The sequence below is a fragment of the Homo sapiens genome, chromosome 20 (assembly GCF_000001405.40).
Source record: "Homo sapiens chromosome 20, GRCh38.p14 Primary Assembly".
Classification (NCBI taxonomy): domain Eukaryota; kingdom Metazoa; phylum Chordata; class Mammalia; order Primates; family Hominidae; genus Homo; species Homo sapiens.
The window spans coordinates 38,896,615-38,917,585 of record NC_000020.11 but is presented as its reverse complement, the minus strand read 5'-3'; the positions used below and the strand labels follow the sequence as shown (position 1 = coordinate 38,917,585).

Below are 20,971 nucleotides of genomic sequence, written 5' to 3'. Positions count from 1 at the left end.
TTCCTCTGTATATGAAGCATATCTCACAAAGATTCTTACCCAGGGATCCTGTACACCTAATAATCCTTGGATAACAAGAGTTTGAAAAGTAGCTGCTTCCTAAAAACTATAAACTAAAAAATAGATACATGCAACAACATTTAAAGCACAGCAAAAATCACCATGAACAGGGAACAAGGTCAAAAGACACATGAAGAAACTAGGAAAATATTTTCAACATATATTACAGAAAAGAGACTAATTTTCTAAAAGTATAAAGAGCTCTTAAAAGTCCTTTTTTTTTTTTTTTTGAGACGGAGTCTTGCTCTGTCTCTCAGGCTGGAGTGCAGTGGCGCAATCTCTGCTCACCGCAACCTCTGCCTCCCGGGTTCAAGCAATTCTCCTGCCTCAGCCTCCCGAGTAGCTGGGATTACAGGCACGTACCACCACACCCAGCAAATTTTTGTATTTTTGTAGAGATGGGGTTTCACCATGCTGGCCAGGCTGATCTTGAACTCCTGGCCTCAAGTGATCCACACTCCTCAGCTTCCCAAAGTGCTGAGATTGCAGGCATGAGCCACCGCACCCAGCCAAAAGTCAATTTTTAAAAGCCTATCTACCCAATAAAAATAGTAGGCAGGGGATACTAATATGTAGCCCACAGCAAAATATATAGATATACATGGCATTGGAATAATATTCATCCCCACTAATCGTTAATACTATAAAAATTAAAACAACAAAATATCACTTTTGGATATCACACTGACAAATACGTTTAAAGTGTGTTATTACTCAGTGTTGGCAGGGGTATGGGGAAATAAGTGAGAATGTAAATTGCTACAGTCTCTTTGATGGACAGTTTTGCATCATCCTTCACTGAAATTTTTTTCTTTTTTTCCTTTCTTCTCTCCCCAGCTCTTCAGTAAAAAATAAAAACAATAATAATGATAAAAATTTTTAGAAAAGATTGTATACTTTGCACCAGCAAGCCCATTTCACAGATTTTCTCTCTCATTAGTGCAAAGCCTGAAAGTCATCATTGGGCAAGCAGGACACTGTGGCCAGTACTTCTATTGGCATGCTCTGTAGCTGGCAAAAAGAATGAAGGAATTCTCCACAAGCTGGCATGGAAAGATGTCCAAGATATATATATATAATCTAGTTTATAATCTAGTTTTCTAACATATATTTATATATAACATACATATATAAATATATATAAAACGTACATATATAACATATATGTACATATAACATATATATGTATTTATATATAACATACATATATAACATATATAACATATATATGTTATATATATATATGGTAATATGTGATAAGGCAAAGAACACTTTCCATAGTAAGTTTCCATTTATGAGTGTGTATTTCTTCGCTTTCTCCTTTTAGAGTCAGGGCCTCACTATGTTGCACAGGCTGGTCTTGAACTCCTGGTCTCAAATGATTCTCCCACCTCAGCCTCCCAAAGCACTGGGATTACAGGCATGAGCCACCGAGTCCAACCTTTTTTTTTTTTTTAATGGCTCCTTCTGAACTATGCAGGCAGACTGATGCCATGTCATGGAGAGACCGTTTCTTGGTGGTCCTAGTCAGTGCTTCTCAAACTTTGATGTGTATGTGAGTTGCCTAGGGATATTGTTAAAATCCATATTCTGATTCAATAGGTCTGGGTTGGGGCCTGCAATTTGGCACTTCTAAGAATTTCCTGCTGATGCTTAGAGTGGCAAAGATCTGAGACACTGATCCCATCTTGGATGCACATTGGCATCATCTAGACAGTTAAAAAAAAACATGTACAGGCCGAGCGTGGTGGCTCACGCTTATAATCCCAGCACTTTGGGAGGCTATGGTGGATGGATCACTTGAGGTCAGGAGTTCGAGACCGGCCTGGCCAACATGGTGAAACCTTGTGTCTACTAAAAGAAAAACACAAAAATTAGACAGGCGCAGTGACGCAGGCCTCTAATCCTAGCTACTCAGGAGGCTGAGGCAGGATAATTGTTTGAACCAGGAGGCAGAGGTTGCAGTGAGCCAAGATTGCACAACTGCACTCCAGCCTGGGCAATAAAGTGAGACTCCGTCTCAAAAAAAAACCATATAGAACACCAATCTGAAAGCATCACATATTATATAATTCCACGTATATAACATTTTGGAAAAGCAAGACTTATGAAAACAGTAGAAGATCAGTGATTGCTAGAGTTTGGGGAGGAAGCGTAAGTAGAATACCAGGGCTGTTTAGTGGGACAGCCCTGGTCTCTTTCACCAGTTGTTCACAATCTCAACTGTCTAATATAACCACCTAAACCAAGTGGCGAGAGCATTCTGTGTGACACTATCATGACGGACACATGACATTATGCATTTGTCAAAACCCACAGGAGTTACGACACAAAGAGCAAACCCGATGTAAACTATGGGCTTTAGTTCATAATAATGTATCAATATTGGCTCATCAGTGATAACATATGTACCACACTAATGCTAGTTGTTAATAACAGGGGAAACCAGGGTGGAGGGGGGTGTATATGGGAAATATCTGTACTTTCCACTCATTTTTCTAGAGTTCTAAAACTGCTCGGAAAAAAAAAATCTATTAGTTTAAAAAGAAAAAAATCCCTGCTGGGTGCAGTGGCTCATGCCTGTAATCCCAGCACTTTGGTAGGCTGAGGTGGGAGGATGGCTTCAGCCTAAGAGTTGGAGACCAGCCTGGGCAACATAGTGAGACCTCATCACTACCCAAATATTTAAAAATTAGCTGGGCATGGTGGTGCGTGCCTGTGGCTCAGCTACATGGGAGGCTGGGCAGGAGGATCACTTGAGCCCAGGAGGGTGAGGCTGCAGTGAGCCATGTTTGTACCATTGCAGTCTAACCTGAGTGACCCTGTCAGAATGAGACCCTGTCTCAACAAAAGAAAACAAAACCCACCTATATCCATCTCCAGTGTCAGAAATCAGAGCATTGAAGGAAGAGGAATTAACTCCAGCCTGAAGGATGTGGGTTAGACGAAAGAGGTTTTCTCATGATGCAGGGAACTTCTAAATGTACTTATCTGCCTAATGCTTAATGAGGTACAAATTATGGGCTGAGTTCTATACAAATAAGAACACAATTGACCCTAGAACACCCTTTGTGGTAGGCACCATCATCTTGGCAATGTTGAACTGAGATACTGGACAACAGGAAGGTTAAACAAAACCCCCACATTTTGTGTTCTGGGGAATGGCTGACTGCACAGAATCACCCTTCCCCATAGGATTTCCAGAACGCTCAGACGACCCCTCCTTTTCCTAGGACAACCCAAACACAGTCCCCCAAATTCTCATTCTTTTCCTCTGAAATGATTAAACTGTCAATTTATCAACCGAAATTAAATGCTTGCTAAATGATTTTTTTTTTTTTTTGAGATAGAGTCTCACTCTGTTGCCCAGGCTGGAGTGCAGTGGTGCAATCTTGGCTCACTCCAACCTCTGCCTCCCAGGTTCAAGTGATTCTCCTGCCTCAGCCTCCCAAGTAGCTGGCATTACAGGCACCTGCCACCACGCCTGGCTATTTTTAGTAGAGACAGGGTTTCGCCATGTTGGCCAGGCTGGTCTCAAACTCCTGACCTCAGATGATCCGCCTGCCTGGGCCTCTCAAAGTGCTGGGATTACAGGCGTGAGCCACTGCGCCCAGCGGTAAATGATTTAACCAAATTTTAGTTAAGCTGCTCCCCTCCCCACAGGATCCTGGACTTTGACTCACCCTGAGGGTAAACAAGCACTGCAATGCAGAAAAACTCTCCTGAAGACCGTTCTGGAAATGGGCTGACCACCAGACACACATTCCTGGTCAACTGTCCAATTACACCACCTGCTCATCCCACCCCCAACCCTCAGTCCTTGCAGCCTCTGTCTTCCTCCCTAGGAAACGAACTCCTTTCTCCTTGACCTCCAAGATCTTGCCAATTCTGTGGTCGATGCATTCTACTTACTGCTGCAATCACTTCAAAAACAGTCTCTCTTTAGCTTTAAAAAACAACGACATGGCCAGGCATGGTGGCTCACGCCCGTAATCCCAGCACTTTGGGAGGTCGAGGCGGGTGGATCACAAGGTCAAGGGATTGAGACCATCCTGGCCAGCATGGTGAAACCCCGTCTCTACTAAAAATACAAAAATTAGCTGGGCATGGTGGCGTGCGCCTGTAGTTCCAGCTACTCAGGAGGCTAAGGCAGGAAAATCACTTGAACCTGGGAGGCGGAGGTTGCAGTGAGCCAAGATTGAGCCACTGCACTCCAGCCTGGCAACAGAGCAAGATTCCATCTAAAAAAAATTAAAAAAAAACACCAATGACAAACATATACAATGCTGAGGTCCCAACTCCTGAGATTCTGATTTAGTTTGTCTGTACTGCTACTTAAACATCAGATTAAAAAACAAGGGGCACAGTGGCTCATGTCTGTAATCCCAGCACTCTGGGAAGCGAAGGCAGGTGGATCACTTAAGGTCAGGAGTTCGAGACCAGCCTGGCCAACATGGGGAAACCCCATCTCTACCAAAAAACACAAAAATTAGCTGGGCATGGTGGCGGGTGCCTGTAGTCCCAGCTAATCAGGAGGCTGAGGTGGGAGAATTGCTTGAATCTGGGAGGCAGAGGCTATAGTGAACGAAGTTTGCGCCACTGCACTCCAGTCTAGCCTGGGCAACAGAGTGAGACCTTGTCTCAGAGGAAAAAAACAAAAACAAAAAACAGTGAACCAAAGTCATCCCTGAAGGCTAACAGGGCACAGCCTTGGAAGAAATGTGATTTGGGGGTCAGGCTGAACAAATTATTCCTCAAATAAGTGGTTCTGAAATTCTTGTGTGCAGCAGTATCGCCACATCTGGAGTGGGTCCTGAGAATCTACATTTATTTATTTTTATTTTTTTTTTAGAGACCACGCCTCACTCTGTCACCCAGGCTGGAGTTCAGTGGTGCTATCATAGCTCACTGCAGCATTGAATTCCTCGACTCAAGCAATCCTCCTGCCTCAGCCTCACAAGACCTAAGACTACAGGTACACACCATCACACCCACCTAATTGTTTTTTTTTTTTTTTTTTTTGGTGGGGGGTAGAGATACGGTCTTGCCATGTTGTCCAGTAACTCCTAGGCTCAGAAGATCCTCCCACCTCAGCCTCCCTCAGTTTTGGGATTACAGGATTTGTGATCCACTGTGCCCAGCCAAAGTCTGCATTTCTAACAAGTTCCCAGGTGATGCTGATGTTGCTGGTACAGGGACCATGCTTTGAGAATTCCCACCTTAACATGGTGAAACCCCATCTCTACTAAAACACAAAAATTAGCTGGGCATGGTGGCAGGTGCCTGTAATCTCAGCTACTCAGGAGGCTGAGACAGGAGAATCACTTGAACCCGGGAGGCGGAGATTGCAGTGAGCCGAGATGGCGCCATTGCACTCCAGGCTAGGCAACAAGAGCGGAACTCTGTATCAAAAAAAAAAAAAAAAAAAAGACTGACTATACCAAGGGTTGGCAAGAAACACTCTGCCATGGGAAAGCAGACAGGTACAAGGCACCTTGGAAAACTGCTTGGTAGTATCCACTAAAGCTAAACATATGCCTACCCGTGACTCCAGCTGCTTTCCTGGGTGTTTTCCCAACACAAAATAGTGCTTATGTCCACCAAAAGACATGTACAAAAATGTTTATAGGAGCTTTATTCACAGGAGCCAGAAACAAGAAACCCAAATGTCCACCAAAAGGAGAATGGAGGCCAGGAGCAGTGGCTGACCCCTGTAATACCAACACTTTGGGAGGCCGAGGAGGGTGGATCGTTTGAGGTCAGGAATTCAAGACCAGCCTGGCCAATATGGCGAAACCCCATCTCTACTAAAAATAGAAAAATTAGCCGGGCGTGGTGGCACGCACCTGTAATCCCAGCTACTCAGGAGGCTGAGGCAGGAGAATCGCTTGATCCTGGGAGGCAGAGGTTGTAGTGAGCCAAGAGCACGCCACTGCACTCTAGCTTGGGTGACAAAGCGAGACTCTGTCTCAATTTAAAAAAAAAAAAAAAGGAGCATGGATATGTAAATTTTAATATTCAAACAATCGAATTCTAGAAAGCAATAAAAAAGAATGAGGCGGCCAGGCGTGGTGGCTCACGCCTGTAATCCCAGCACTTTGGGAGACTGAGGCGGGTGGATCACGAGGTCAGGAGATCGAGACCATCCTGGCTAACACGGTGAAACCCCGTCTCTACTGAAAATACAAAAAATTAGCTGGGCGTGATGGTGGGCACCTATAGTCCCAGCTACTAGGGAGGCTGAGGCAGGAGAACGGCATGAACCCGGGAGATGGAGGTTGCAGTGAGCCGAGATCGCGCCAATGCACTCCAGCCTGGGGGACAGAGCAAGACTCCATCTCAAAAAAAAAAAAAGAAAAAGAAAAAAAAAACAAGAATGAGGCCAGGTACAGTGGCTCGTGCCTATAATCCCAGCACTTTGGGAGACTGAGGCAAGAGGATCATTTGAGCCCAGGAGTTTGAGACCAGCCTGGGCAACATAGCAAGATTCCATCTCTAAAAAATTTTGTTTTGTTTTGTTTTGTTTTGTTTTGAGACGGAGTCTCGCTCTGTCCCCAGGCTGGAGTGCAGTGGCTCGATCTTGGCTTACTGCAACCTCCACCTCCCGGGTTCAAGTGATTTTCCTGCCTCAGCCTCCTGAGTAGCTGGGACTACAGACGCGTGCCACCATGCCCAGCTAATTTTTGTATTTTTAGTAGAGATGGGGTTTCACCATGTGGCTAGGATGGTCTCGATCTCTTGACCTTGTGATCCACCCACCTCGGCCTCCCAAAGTGCTGGGATTACAGGCATGAGCCACGGCACCCAGCCAAAAATTTTTTTTAATTAGCCAGGCATGGTGGTGCATGCCTATAGTCCCAGCTACCCAAGAGGCTGAGGTGGGAGGATCGCTTGATCCCAAGAGGTCAAGGCTGCAGTGAGCTAGGATCACACCACTGCACTCCAGCCCAGGCAACAGAGTGAACTCCTGTCTCAAAAAAAAAAAACAAAAAAAAACTACTGCTATATGCCACAACGTGGGTGACTCTCACAGATGTAAAAAAAGCCAGACACGAAAGAAACTGCAGGGTCATTCATATGCATATACAAAATTAATCTTTAGAACTCAAAGTTAAATAGTGACTACATTTGGAGTGGGGGAAAGGACGGAGAGAGAACATGGATGATGAAAATGCTCTATGAATTCATCTGAGTGTGTACATTTGTAAAAGGTTGTTGAAAATCTCATTTAAGATTTGTCTACTTGGCCAGGCATGGTGGCTCACACCTGTAAGCCCAGCACTTTGGGAGGTCCAAGTGGGTAAGGATTGCTTGAGGTCAGAACTTCAACACCAGCCTGGCCAACATGGTGAAACCCCATCTCTACTAAAAATACAAAAATCCACCAGGCGTCGTGGCGGGCACTAGTAATCCCAACTACTCAGGAGGCTGAGGCAAGAGAATCGCTTGAACCCGGGAGCACAGGTTGCAGTGAGCTGAAATCACACCACTGCACTCCAGCCTGGGTAACAGAGCGAGGCTCCATATCATAAAAAAATAAAAAAATAAAAAAAGATTTGTCTGCTTTACCATACTTAAGTTACACCACAATCACAAAGGAAAAATAAATAAAGCACAGCTGGGAGACATCTGAAATGTGATTTGATACTGATCTACATCTCTTTTCTCACCAATCCTCAGACTAAGGGGCCAGGCAGAACAAATCTTCCCTACGTGCCCTCTCCATCACCAGCTGGTGGCTTTGATGTGGCCTCCCCTTGGGCAGGCACCTTCACACCTCCTGGTGAGACAGGCAGTAGGTGACCCCACTGTTCGTGCTGGGAAGCAGGGTCCCTCTGAGACACGTGGGCATGCTCGGTAGCTAATCAATTTCATCCCACCAAGGCTAAACTCTCTAGGCATGTTTTCATCTGTTCGTGGTGTAGTGGAAGAACGAAAATGGCAGACCACTTCTGGTACAGTTAACTTCTCCCTCATCCTCAGCAATTCCACTCCAGCCCCAAACTTGTTCACTCCACTCAGCAAGAAAGCAGCCATGCTGAGTGAGTGTGTTGGTTCTGGGTTAAGTAGTGTCCCTCAAAAATTCATGTCTACCTGGAATCTCTGAATGTGACTTTATCTAGAAATAGGTATTTGCAGGTGTAATAAATTAAATTAAGATTAGGTCATACTGGATTGGCATGGGCTCCAATCCAATGACTGGTGTCCTCATAAGAGGAAAAAACAGGCTAGGTACAGTGGCTCGAACCTGTAATCTCAGTACTTTGGGAAGCCAAGGTGGGAGGATTGCTTGAGGCTAAGTTTGAGGCCAGCCTGGGCAACACAGCAAGACCTCATCTCTACAAGAAATTTGAAAATTAGCCAGTCGTGATGGCCCCCGCCTATAGTCCCAGCTACTTGGGAGGCTGAGGTGGGAGGATCGCTTAAGCCCATGAGTTGGAGTCTTCAGTGATCTATAATCATGCCACTGCACTCCAGCCTGAGTGACAGAGCAAGACCCTGTCTCAAAAAAAACCAATAAAATAAAAATAAAAAAAGAAAACAGACACACACACACGAAGAAAAAGGTCATGTGGAGATAGAAGCAGAGACTAGAATCATTGCTAGCAAGAGCCAAAGAACGCCTGAGCCACCAGAAGCTCGCAGAGGCGTGGAACAGAATCCCCTTGAGAGCCCCCAGAGGGAACCAATGCTGGTGTTACCTGGATTTTAGACTTCTGGCCTTCAGAACTGAGAGAGAATAAATTTCCACCATGTTAAGCCATCCAGTTTGTGATAATTTCTTAAAGCAGCCATCAGAAATGAAAGCAGCTTAAAGCTTAAAGGACCATTGGCTGCTACAGGAGCAGGCTTCTCAGAGGTCCTACTAGGATCCTACTCCATTTTTCAAAAAACATGTTCTGATAAACACAATTCTCAATATCTTGTTATATTTCCTGAAAAAGAAGTTGTAGCACCCTCAGCTCCTGGGTGACTGCCCTACTGAAGCTCTCTCCTTGGAAGTCCACTGCTAGGTGTGCTGGAGCACAGCTAGGCGCATAGCGGACACTCACCCCCTGTCAATTAGGAGACCTACCTGTGTGCCAAAGCACCCAGCTCAGCCTCTAACACACTCCCCGATCACCTCCTTAACTACAGCAGCCACCACCATCAGACTGAATCTGCTGGTTTAACTACAGTAGCCATCATCATCAGACTGGATATGCTAGTTTAAGGGCAGTGCCTGGCTACTTCCCTCTGAAGGCTCTCAGTTGAAGAGGCAAGGCCAGGCTGGGCCCTGTTCTCCTCCCATTGCAGTGGCTGACACTAGGGCAGGGCGTGAGGCCACTCACAGGGTCCTTATTCTCTTGGTCTGTCCTGGTCTCCCTGATGTCCCCGTTGTAGGTGGAGGTCCGCTGATCCTCAGCTGCACTCCGCTGCCACAGGATGGCCTCTCCCTCATACTCCTTCCTATACAGGTTGGTCCTGTCCGACAGGCTGGCTCGCCGCACCACCTTCCTGAGAGGACAAAGTGGGTCCTAGAGGCTGCACCCAGGCACCACAGGCAGGAGCACACACAGGGACTCCTGGCTGCCCTGCCCCGGACTCACCCACGGCTGCCTGCGCTGGAGGTCCTCCGGCTCAAGGATGACTTGTGCCTCAGCTGTGACTTCATGATCACATCATGCTTGTGTTTTAGCTCCAGCAGCAGGACCTTGAACTCTTCCTCCTCGCACAGGTCTGAAGGGGCAGAGGAGTCTGTTGTGGGGGACGGGGCCAGGACCTGTGGCGCAAGAGGGTGCTCCAGACCAGAGGAGCTGCCACCCCAACCCACTGAAAACTCCAAGCATCTTTCAGGGCATGCAGGGAGGCAAGAAAACAATGCCAGCCAAAGTTGAGTGAGTGTGTTTATAAGAGGATTATAAGAATGGGAAACCCAGGTTCTGGGCACAGTCACAATTCCTAAGCTTCCCAGCTATGACCGAGGGATTCATGTTGCTCTTTGATAGTTTCCAAGAAGAGTCCCCAAGCAGGTACCCCACATAGCCCAAGCAATAAATTATGCAAAGATGCTAATAAAGCTACATACTCCCATCTATTCTACCTAACCCCTTCATCCATCTATCTACCTATTGCTGACTGAGCCATGTATTCATAGATTCATCCTTTACCCACTCATCCACTTATTTTTCTGTCTATCCATCCATCCATCCATCCATCCATCCATCCATCCACCCACCCACCCATCCATTCAACCAGACCTCATAATATCTACCCATCTACCACCTCAACCATCCATTCATCCATTTATCCATCTATCCATTAATCTGTCCATCCGTCCATTCATCTACCATCCATTAATTAATCCATCTATCTATCTAGACACCAATCCATCAATCTATACAACCATATATTTATCTATTTCTCCCTCTACCCATCAAAACATTGATAACTGCCTATTTGTGCACACCAGCTATTGTGCTGGACTTACCTATTGGCATCTCATCCATGGATGTCCTTGCACTGAGACTAGCTCCATGGGACACCAATAGCTCTGCCATCTGCATCTGAAACACAGGAAGAAGCTCATGTGTCCCCCTGCCCAGAGCTCAGAAAGCCTAGGAGGTGGAGAGAGTGCCCAAGGCCTCTTAGGATGTGACCCAAAGAATGGTGGGACAAAGTTGATTTCCAGGGAAGGCCTGCAAACTAGAGCCATGGGGGGAATCCAGACAGATGCAATGAGCTTAGCACCTCCTCCACATGCCTGGGCCACACCAAGAAGAAGGAGAAGAAAGAGTTGGCTGTAACTCTAGAGCTGGCAGGTATCTAAGGAGGGACTAGGTGTAAGTGACAATCAGAGTTTTGTATCTGGAAACAAATGGAGAAACTGCTAGAAGCAAAAATGCTGGTAATTTTCTTATTTGGCAAATTTGATTACCATCCTATTAGAACACAACTTGTCAGCCAGGCATGGTGGCATCCCAGCACTTTGGGAGGCCAAGGCAGGCAGATCACCTGAGATCAGGAGTTTGAGACCAGCCTGACCAACATGGTGAAACCCTGTCTCTACTAAAAATACAAAAAATTAGCTGGGCATGGTGGCACATGCCTGTAATCCCAGCTACTCAGGAGGCTGAGGCAGGAGAATTGTTTGAACCCAGGAGATGGAGGTTGCAGTGAGATGAGATTGCACCACTGCACTCCAGCCTGGGTGACAGATCAAGACTCCATCTCAAAAAAAAAAAAAAAAAAAAAAAAAAAACACAACTTGCTTTGTCCAATGTTTTTTGCAAACTCCCTAGGCCTTTTCATATCCCACATATGAGCTATATTCAACACCTTAAGCCTTAAAGTCTTATGTTCTTTGAAAACAACTGCCAGCCCAAAAAACTTGGTGTCAGCAGGTTAGCCCTGTGCCGGCCTCCCCCACAGCCCTGTGGGTGAGAACTACCTGTCCCCAGAAGGCAGCTGCATGCAGGGGCTCCCAGCCATCCCAGTCCTTCACATCCACACGCACTCCATGGTCCAGGAGGAGCTCAGCTGCCCGCAGGTATCCATTGGCTCCAGCTATGTGCAGCTGGAGGAGAGGAAAGAAGTGAGCATTCCTCAGGGGATCAGCCCCACATTGACGGTAGGCTAGCTCTCACCTTCACCCAACTCCCACAGCATCCTTGGGGCCAGTAGAATGGAATAGAATGAAATGGAAATACCAGTCACATTGCAGAGGATTATTAAGTCTGAAATATGGACTTAAAAGGAAAGGTAGAGAGCTGAATTCTTCTCCCCTGTGGTTGGTCTTAGCATCCATGTGGTTAAAGCGATAGCATTTACTGAGCCCCTACTGTGCATTGAGCCCTGAAGAAGGGGTCTCTGAGGTTCAATATGGTGATTTTTAAATATGTCTACAAATTCTTTGACACATCTTCCTTTAAAAGATGGAGCCTGACTGTTCTCACCTTGAATGTGGGCCAGACTGAGTGACTCACTTCTAACAAGTAGGATATTGTGAATATCCTGTTTGTGATTTCTGAGGCTAGGGCATAAAAGGCATTTCTGCTTCTACTTTATGTTGTCTTGGATCAATTATTCTAGAAGAAGGCAGCCACTATGTTGTGAGGATCCTCAAGAAGCCTCAAGGAGAGGTCCTAAAGAGGTGAGAAACTGAGGCTTCCTGCCAACAGCCAGCACTAACTTGCCAGCCATGTGTGTGAACTGACTTGGAAGTGGATCTTCCAGTACCAGTCAAGCCTTCAGATGAGACTGCAGCCCCAGTAGTCTCAACAATATTGCAACATCTTGGTTGCAATATCATGAGAGCCACCAAGCCAGAGCCACCCAGTTAAGCTGTTCCTAACTCTCTGACCCAAAGAAACCATGTGAGACAATAAATATTTATTATTGTTTTAAGATGCTACATTGTGGGGTAGTTTGTTATGCAGCAATAGATAATACATCCAATGAGGGACTGTGATCCCATTCAAGGCCTTCAGTCATGGCCACTGCCTGGCAGACCTCAGTTGTCATGATTGTTCAATTTGCCCCCAAAATACATAAATAGCTTAGCCCATAATGAACACTCAGTAAGGGATTCACATTCTTAGAGAGTCCTAAATGATGACCATGAGAATGAATGAAGGAGAGAGAAGGAAATAAGGCAAAAAGACATCAACTGCCCAGCCAAGATGAGAGATAGAAGTGAGAGTCCAAGGCGGCTAGCAGAAGACTAGCTGGGAGGAAGCCAGAGAACCTCGGGGGCCTGAGGTCTTGGGCTGGAGAGTCAGTGGGACAAAGAAGGCATGGCCTCAGGAAGTGATCCTTCTGAACACAGCCCTGATGGTCAGATGCCACCTCATCCTGGGAGAAGGTTGCTTGAAGCTTTTTTTTTTTCCAACTTGAAAAAGCAAGGGTATGATGTGAAAATTAGTATAATTATCTGATTTATAAATGTCTGATGCTTGTCAGTTGTAGAGAATGACACCTGCTGGCCAGTCCGACATTACAAACCTCACTACTTGGCTGGAAATGAAAAGGTATGAGTGGAATAGTGGCATTGTTAGTAAAAATAATGGTCATTGCTAACATCTATTGAGAATTTGCAGACTGTGCTAAGCACTTTCACACAGAATCTCATTTAATGCTCCCAGCAACACTGTGAGGAAGACACTATGATCTCCAGTTTACTGGGAAGACCTGAGACCTAGTATATGCCCAGCCCATGGGGGTGGGGCCACCCTGAGGCCAGCCCCAGCCCAGGTAGAGAAGATCCCTGTGTCTAGAGGACCCAATGACAGCCCCATTGGAGCTGCAATGAGGCTGGGTAATGCCCTAGTGCAGCCTGGCCTTGACTTCAGACAGAAATAGTCAGACTTCCTACCTGACCCCATTCTTGAGTGCTAGGCTGAGCAGGTGATCCAAGCAGGCACCCAAGTAATAGAAATGGGCATAAAACAGATGTGAGAGCTCAGGAAGCAGGTGGGAGAAGCCCACTTATCACACCTGGGCTGCCAGGTCAGGCCTGAGGGGCAGTGAGGATATCTGGTACTGCTGAGCCCTATCTAGTGAGCTCGAGATCCCGAGACTGCTGAGTGCTTACGACCAGCGTGGAACCTAAGCCTGGGACAGGGCACCCACCCCCCAGTCAGTGGGGTAGGCTGCCATAGCCATGCTCTGAATTTTGACTTACAGGTTGCAGAAGCAGACCTCCCCAATATTAGGCTGCAGTGTGCTCTGAGAGCCTATGAGGAGTGGCCAGGGAGGTTTTCCTAAGTCAGTGACACTTGAGCTGCAAGGATGAGTGGAGTTAACCAGGCGGATTTGAGAGAGAAGAAGGTCCCATTGTTCTCTGTCTCCAGGGTCTAGTAAAGTATGTGCACAGAGGAGGTGCTCATAACTGTGTGTTGACTGGATGGCTGGATGGATGGATGGAATGATGGATGGATGGATGGATGGATGGATGGATGGATGGACGGACGGACGGACGGATGGATGGATGGATGGATGGATGGATGGATGGTTGGATGGACCAATGGATGAATGGATGACTGGGAGTGGTGGGCAGACTCTGAAGTCAGGGAACCCAAAGGAGAGGCTGTTGCAGTAATATCAGGGGAGCTGATGAGGCAAGGCAGTGGGGTGCTAGGGTAGGAGAGGTGATACTAAGGCAGGGGAATGGACAGTGCAAAGCAAGAAAGCACGAGTGAGTGGGTGAATGGTGACACCAGTCCTTAATGGAGGACATCATTAGAGGAGAGGGAAATAAGGAGCTCAAGATGGACACATGAAGCCTGGGGTGAAGGAATATCTTGGAGACAGAGCAGTTGGTGAACAGGTGGGAGCCAGGTCTCCGACCCAGGCTCCTAACTCCAAGCCCCACTTGAGAGTGGCTGGATTCTTTTTTGTTTGTTTGTTTATTAAAGACAAAGTCTTTCTGTCACCCAGGCTAGAGTGCATTGGTGCAATCACAACTCAAACTCAAACTCCCAGGCTCAAGTGATCCTCCCACCTCAGCCTCCCAGGTAGCTGGGACTACAGGTGTGAGCCACCAAGCCCAGCCCAGAGAGAGGCCAGGTTCTCAAAGAGGCTGAGCCCTGCTCTGCTGACCCTCCCTATCCAGGGGCAATCCTGGCCCAAAAGGATTCTTGCGGAGGTCCAAGGTCACAGACAGGCCCCAAGGGTACAGGGTTGGTCCCCACCAGGTGCTGGCCCACTTCGGACCTAGCTGGTCTTGGTTTTGGTACTGGCCCATCTCCTCACCAGTGTGGCACCCTGGGCATCTATCCAGTCCAGGTCCTGGCCCGCTGCGATCATGCAGTGGATGTCCGCAATCATCTGCTGCTCAGGAGCCACCCGCATCTCGTTGATTTTCTCTTGGGTGATGCCTGCAGTGGGAAAGAGGGGATTTATTTAGCACCCTCAGGCCTACGACCCCAGAGGGCAGGGGAAGGCAGATGAGGGAGGCATGGCTCTTGTTCCCTAGGATATGCCAGTCAAGCGGGCATGCAGACATGCCCATAGATCATTGTCTTCAGGCCTGATGAGACACCATGCATTGGCCCACAGAGCAAGGGCATTCCTGCCTGGCACCCACTAGGCAATGGATTCATATTGGTCACTTTGCATATGCTGTTCTTCTACCTGAAAGTCCTTACCATCCACCTACACACCTCCAACTGCTCAGATGGCTGCCTCTGTCTTATTCTTTAGGTCCTGGACTGGATCATCTCCCAAGCTGGCCTCTGCTGACCACCCTATCTGACCAGGGTCTCTGTTAGTTTCCTTCATCTTAACCATGGTTGTGTCTGTAGCACCTGGCACAACGCTCAATCAATTTTAGTTGCAGAAGGACTGAATGAATGAATGTATTACTTTCAAGTGGAGAGCTGAGTCAATTGAGGTAGGGGCCCAGAGAGACATTGTATAGCCCGAATCCCATTCCTGTCTTAAAAGTGTGTTACTGACAGCTACAAACAGTATTTAAGGAGAGGATGACATGCTCCGTAAAAAGATCCATTAGACCAAGCACTGTTCGATCGAATTCAGGAGAGATCTACAAAAGGAGGAAATAAAATCACACATTTCTTTTGACTAAGCTTTAAACGAAATTGAGTATTCCCTACCATTAGAATGTAAGCAAAACCCACAGTAGTGTTAGCAGTGCCTGTAACTTTGTTACCAACAGATACTATAGCTATTTTCATATCCTGTTATCTTATTGTTTAATGAATTAACGAAGTTTCTATCTAACACATTGAAAAATGTTTTGGTACTTACGCTTTAATATAATTGGCTTCCTTTATAATCCTATACTTTTATAACTGCATTTAAAAACATTATTCTGGCTGGGCGCGGGGGTTCACGCCTGTAATCCCAGAAATTTGGGAGGCTGAGGCAGGCAGATCACCTGAGGTCAGGAGTTCGAGACCAGCCTGGCCAACATGGTGAAATCCTGTCTCTACTAAAAATACAAAAATTAGCTGGGCATGGTGGTGCATGCCTATAATCCCAGCTACTTGGGAGGCTGAAGCAGGAGAATCACTTGAACCTGGGAGGCAGAGGTTGCAGTGAGCCGAGATTGTGCCATTGCACTCTAGCCTGGGGGACACAGCAAGACTCCATCTCAAAAAAATAAAAACATTATTCTGAGAAGGGGTCCATAGAGTCACCAGATTGGCACAAAAATGGTTAAGAACCTCTGCAGGAGATGAATAGGAAGATCTGGGTGCAAGGAACAAGACATTCAATCACGGTTACTGAGGCTCTGTGGGGTACACAAGGGCAGGGCCAGGGCAGGACTGCAGCTGCAGCTGAGGATCTGGGGATGTGACATATTTCCAAGGAGGTGGCGCTTCAGAGGTCTATCTGTGGGGTGCTGGGGCACGCAGGTCTCTCATTGCTGCATCTGTTTCCTTTCTGAACCTCATTTGTGAGTTGAGAACAGCCCACATCTTGTTTATCTGGGCCCCTGGCAGCCAGCGTGGTGCCTGGCACAGAGCAGGCACCCTCCAGTATTCTTGACTTTATTATTGTCCCACATAGGAATATATCTTTATGGTGAACATTTATTGAATCAAATTGTCACAGCTGATGAAGATGAGACAAGGCCAGCTGCGGCCACCTGCGTGTGTGGGTGACACGAATGAGATCAATACCTCCCTTCTGCGCAGCATGTTTTCCAGGGTCCTCTCATGTCCTGCTCTTGATAATCACACAGATAAGGATATGAATGGGGACCCATCCTATTCACTGAGCACAGCGCACGAGGCAGGCCGATGCGTAGCTAATCTGTTCGCCTGCATTGATTTAAGGGACGCTCTCTGCAACTCTGTGCTGTGCTCACTTCATAGCAGGCTGCCCTCCCTTACCCTGGTATGCCATGCAGGTCTCGATGACATCCAGGGTGGGTTCATCCTCGCAGAGGTCATATGGCATGTTCCCATCCGAGTTGACAGCAAGCAAGTCGGCCCCACTGCAGAGAAAGAGGCAGGGTGAGGGCCAAGTAGGTGTGGCTAGGGTTGGTCTAGCTGCCTCTGCCCTCTGGCCTCTCGCCTGCAATCCTACTGTACAACCCGGCACTCAAAACCCCACCAAGGTGTACCCCAGCAAGATGATGCTTGGATCTGCCTGACACACAGCCCAAGAGCACGACAGCTTCAGGATCCCAGGGTCCCAGGTGGGAAGAGACCAAAGTCCCAGGACAGCTATCCCAGAAGACCTCCCTAAGCCTTTCACTCTGTTGAACCAGCAGGCAGGGACTTAGGGACAGATATAAAAGTCCTCCTGGTGACAATAACAAAAATCACATTAATGGCAGCAGCACCACTTACCAGGCACTTGCTTAGAGCCAAACCTGATCTAAGCCCCTTTTGCAGGCATCCTTTTATTTAACCCTTATAATAGCTCAGGTTAATACTGTTGGCCCCATCTCACGCAAGGGGAAACAAAGACTCAGACATGACCGGGCACAGTGGCTCAAGCCTGTAATCCCAGCACTTTGGGAGGGCGAGGCGGGCGGATCACCTGAGGTCAGGAGTTCGAGACCAGCCTAGCCGACATAGAAACCCTGTCTCTACTAAAAATACAAAAATTAGCGGGGCGTGGTGTGGGAGCCTATAATCCCAGCTATTCGGGAGGCTGAGGCATGAGAATTGCTTGAAACTGGGAGGCAGAGGTTGCAGTGAGCCAAGATCACGCCACTGCACTCCAGCCTGGGTGATAGAGCAAGACTAGAGCAAGTTTAAAAAAAAAAAAAGACTCAGACAGGTTCGGTCACTTGTCCAAGGTCACACAGCTTGGATACAGTAGAGTCCAGACTCAAAACCAGGTCTCTCATATTAGTTCTTTTTACTTCTCCATGTTCTATTTCATTTTTTGCCCATATGCAGAAACATCCTCAGTTATATTCCACCTCCTCCAAGTCCCTACTCAAAAGGCTGATAGTACAGAGGTAGAAGAATGGAGACCTGGGACTCCTTGGAAGAATTTACCCTTTGGGCCAGTGGTTCCTAAGAATGGCCCTGGATGCCATGTGGCAGAATTACCTGGGGACCATGGGAATAAAATGCAGCATCTTGGGTGGGCTTCACTCCAGCCCTCCTGAAAGAGTCCTTGGGGTAGGGCATGGGAATCTGTTTTAAACCCATGCCCCAGGTGATTGTAATACCGATCAGCTTTGGGACCCACTGACCCAGGCTGGCACCACTTTCCTTGTCCTCTTAGCACCATCACTGATCAGGCTGTGGCCATCTGATGCTCCTAGCAGAATTAGCCATACTCAGGTTCCCATCAGAGACATAGGCACAGGCCACCATCCAGTCCTTTGGCCTAACAGCCCTCCACTGTGACTTCTCTGAGCTTTCGTACACCCCAGAGCAAGTTTATCCAGCTCTCTGAGCTGGGGCAGCAGTACTGTCATATCCATCCCCCCGGGAGCCAACGATGGGCTCCTGCCGCTCTGCCAAGACCAGTGCAAAAGGTTACCTGCCCTGGGCCACTCTCTCTGACTCCTTGCCCTCAGATGATCAGCCCCCTGGTCTGGCTCTGTCTCAGCTCTGGTACTTAAAACCCCTGGCTTTCTTCCTGGCTCCCCAGGACTTCTGCATCCCTGTGTGCCCAGTGCCCAGCTCTGGGTGATACCAATTATTATTTAGGTTGGTGCAAAAGTAATTGTGGTTCTTGCCATTACTTTTAAGAATCACAATGATTGTTGTTGTTGTTGTTGTTGTTGTTGTTGTTGTTTTGAAACAAGGTCTTGCTCCATCACCCAGGCTGGTGTGCAGTGGCTCAAACTCAGCTCACTGCAACCTCCGCCTCCCAGGTTCAAGCAGTTCTCCTGCCTCAGCCTCCTGAGTAGCTGGGATTACAGGCGTGCACCACCACGCCCAGCTAATTTTTGTATTTTTAGTAGAGACAGGGTCTCACTATGTTGGCCAGACTGGTATCGAACTCCTGACCTCAAGTGGTCCACCCATTTTGGCCTCCCAAAGTGCTGGGATTACAGGTGTCAGCCACCTGTAATCTCCAATGATGTTTTTTGCAGACTAGAATAGCTTACTCTAAAATTCATAGGGAATCTCAAGGAACCTGAATAGCCAACACAACCCTGAAAAAGAAGAACAAAGCTGGCGGATTCACACTTCCTGATTTCAAAACGAACTCCAAAACTCTAGCATCAAACAGTGTGGGGCTGGCATAAAGACAAACATATAGACCAATAAAATAGAATAGAGTCCAGAAACAAACCCTCACATACACGGTTAAATGATTTTAGACAGGGTACCAAGGCCATTCAATGGAGAAAAGACCAACCATCTTTCCAACAGATAGTGTAGGAAAATTGGATATCCGCATGCAAAAGAATGAAGTTAGATCCTTACCCAATACCATATATAAGATTTAATTCAAACTGGACCCATGACCTAAATGAAAGACCTAAAACTATAAAACTCTTAGGAGAAAACATAGAACAAAACCTCCATGATAGTGGATTTGGCAGTGATTTCAAAGACATCCTATAGAATGGGAGAAAATAGTACGTCTATCTGATAAGGGATTCATCTCCAGAATACATAGAGAAATCCTAAAATTCAATGACAAAAACCCAACCCAGTTCAAACATGGACAAAGGACTTGAATAGACATTTCTCCAAAGAAGACATACAGATGGACAACGGGCACATGAAAAGATGCTCAACGTCACTCATCACGAGAAAAATGCAAATCAAAACCACAGTGAGAGACCACCTCACATCTACTAGTATGGCTACTAACAAAAAAGAAAAAGCAGAAAATAGCAAGTGTTGGTGAGGATGTGGAGAAACTAGAATCCTTGTGTACTGTTGGTGGGAATGTAACATGTTGTGGAAAACAGTATAGCAGGTCCTTAAAAAATTTAAAATAGCATTACCATACAATCCAGCAACTCCACTTCTGGGTGTATAACCAAAGGAATTGGAAGCAGGATTTCAAGAGATATTTGTACACTCATGTTCGTCACAGCATGATTCACAATAGCTAAAACATGGAGGCAACCCAAGTGTCCATCAATGAATGGATGCATAAGTGAAACGTGGTATAGACATACAATGGAGTACATTCAGCCTTAAAAAGGAAGGAAACTCTGACACATACTACAACATAGATGAACCTTGAGGACATTATGCTAAGTGAAATATGCCAGTCAAAAAAAGACAAATACTGTATGAATCCACTTCTTGTTTTTTTAAGATGGTGTCTCACTCCGTCGCCCAGGGTGGATTGCAGTGGTACAATCTTGGCTCACTGCAACCTCAGTCTCCTGGGTTCGAGCGATTCTCCTGCCTCCACCACCTGAGTAGCTGGGATTACAGGCGTGAGCCACCACACCCAGCTGAATCCACTTTTCATTTATTTATTTATTTATTTGAGGTGCAGTTTTGCTCTTGTTGCCCAGGCTGGAGTGCAATGGCATGATCTCAGCTCATCGCAAACTCCGCCTCCTGGGTTCAAGCGATTCTCCTGCCTCAGCCTCCCAAGTAGCTGGGATTACAGGCATGCACCACCATGCCCGGCTAATTTTGTATTTTTAGTAGAGATGGGACTTCACCATGTTGGTCAGGCTGGTCTCGAACTCCCGACCTCAGGTGATCCACTTGCCTCAGCCTCCCAAAGTGCTGAGATTACAGGCGTGAGCTACCGTGCCCGGCCTTTCTGAATCCACTTCTATAAAGTGCTTACAGTAGTCAAATTCATAGAGACAGAAAGTAGAATGGTGGTCGCCAGGAGCCAGGGGTAGGCAGGGAATGGGAATTACTGTTTGATGGGTACAGAGTTTCAGTTTTGCGAGATGAAAGTCATTCTGAAGATGGAGAGTGGTAATGGCTGCACAACAATATGAATGTACTTAATACCACTAACCTGCACACTTAAAATGGGTAAGATGGTATTTTATGTTATA

General features: G+C 46.8%; 1 protein-coding gene across 4 annotated transcripts in view, besides 1 other annotated feature; it reads right to left on the bottom strand.

Moving 5' to 3' along the window:
• The window catches only part of PPP1R16B (protein phosphatase 1 regulatory subunit 16B), a 117,328-nt gene that overhangs the window by 5,439 nt on the left and 90,918 nt on the right, over positions 1–20,971 (bottom strand). For 2 of the 4 annotated variants that reach the window (NM_015568.4, XM_011528768.4), the window contains 6 exons: positions 16,902–17,005; positions 14,794–14,918; positions 11,492–11,617; positions 10,532–10,607; positions 9,651–9,780; positions 9,393–9,558 (listed from right to left, as the gene is read on the bottom strand). In NM_015568.4, coding sequence (NP_056383.1) covers positions 9,393–9,558; positions 9,651–9,780; positions 10,532–10,607; positions 11,492–11,617; positions 14,794–14,918; positions 16,902–17,005 — 727 coding nt within the window. The remainder of the gene's footprint in view (positions 1–9,392; positions 9,559–9,650; positions 9,781–10,531; positions 10,608–11,491; positions 11,618–14,793; positions 14,919–16,901; positions 17,006–20,971) is intronic. The other 2 variants (NM_001172735.3, XM_047440086.1) reach the window with 2 other exon arrangements.
• Positions 9,097–9,596: an enhancer, noted in NCBI's record as "H3K4me1 hESC enhancer chr20:37536633-37537132 (GRCh37/hg19 assembly coordinates)". NCBI's record gives its function as "activates a minimal SCP1, AML or CMV promoter by ChIP-STARR-seq in naive H9 embryonic stem cells {active_cell/tissue: H9 hESC(naive)}" and the evidence as "EXISTENCE:reporter gene assay evidence [ECO:0000049][PMID:30033119]".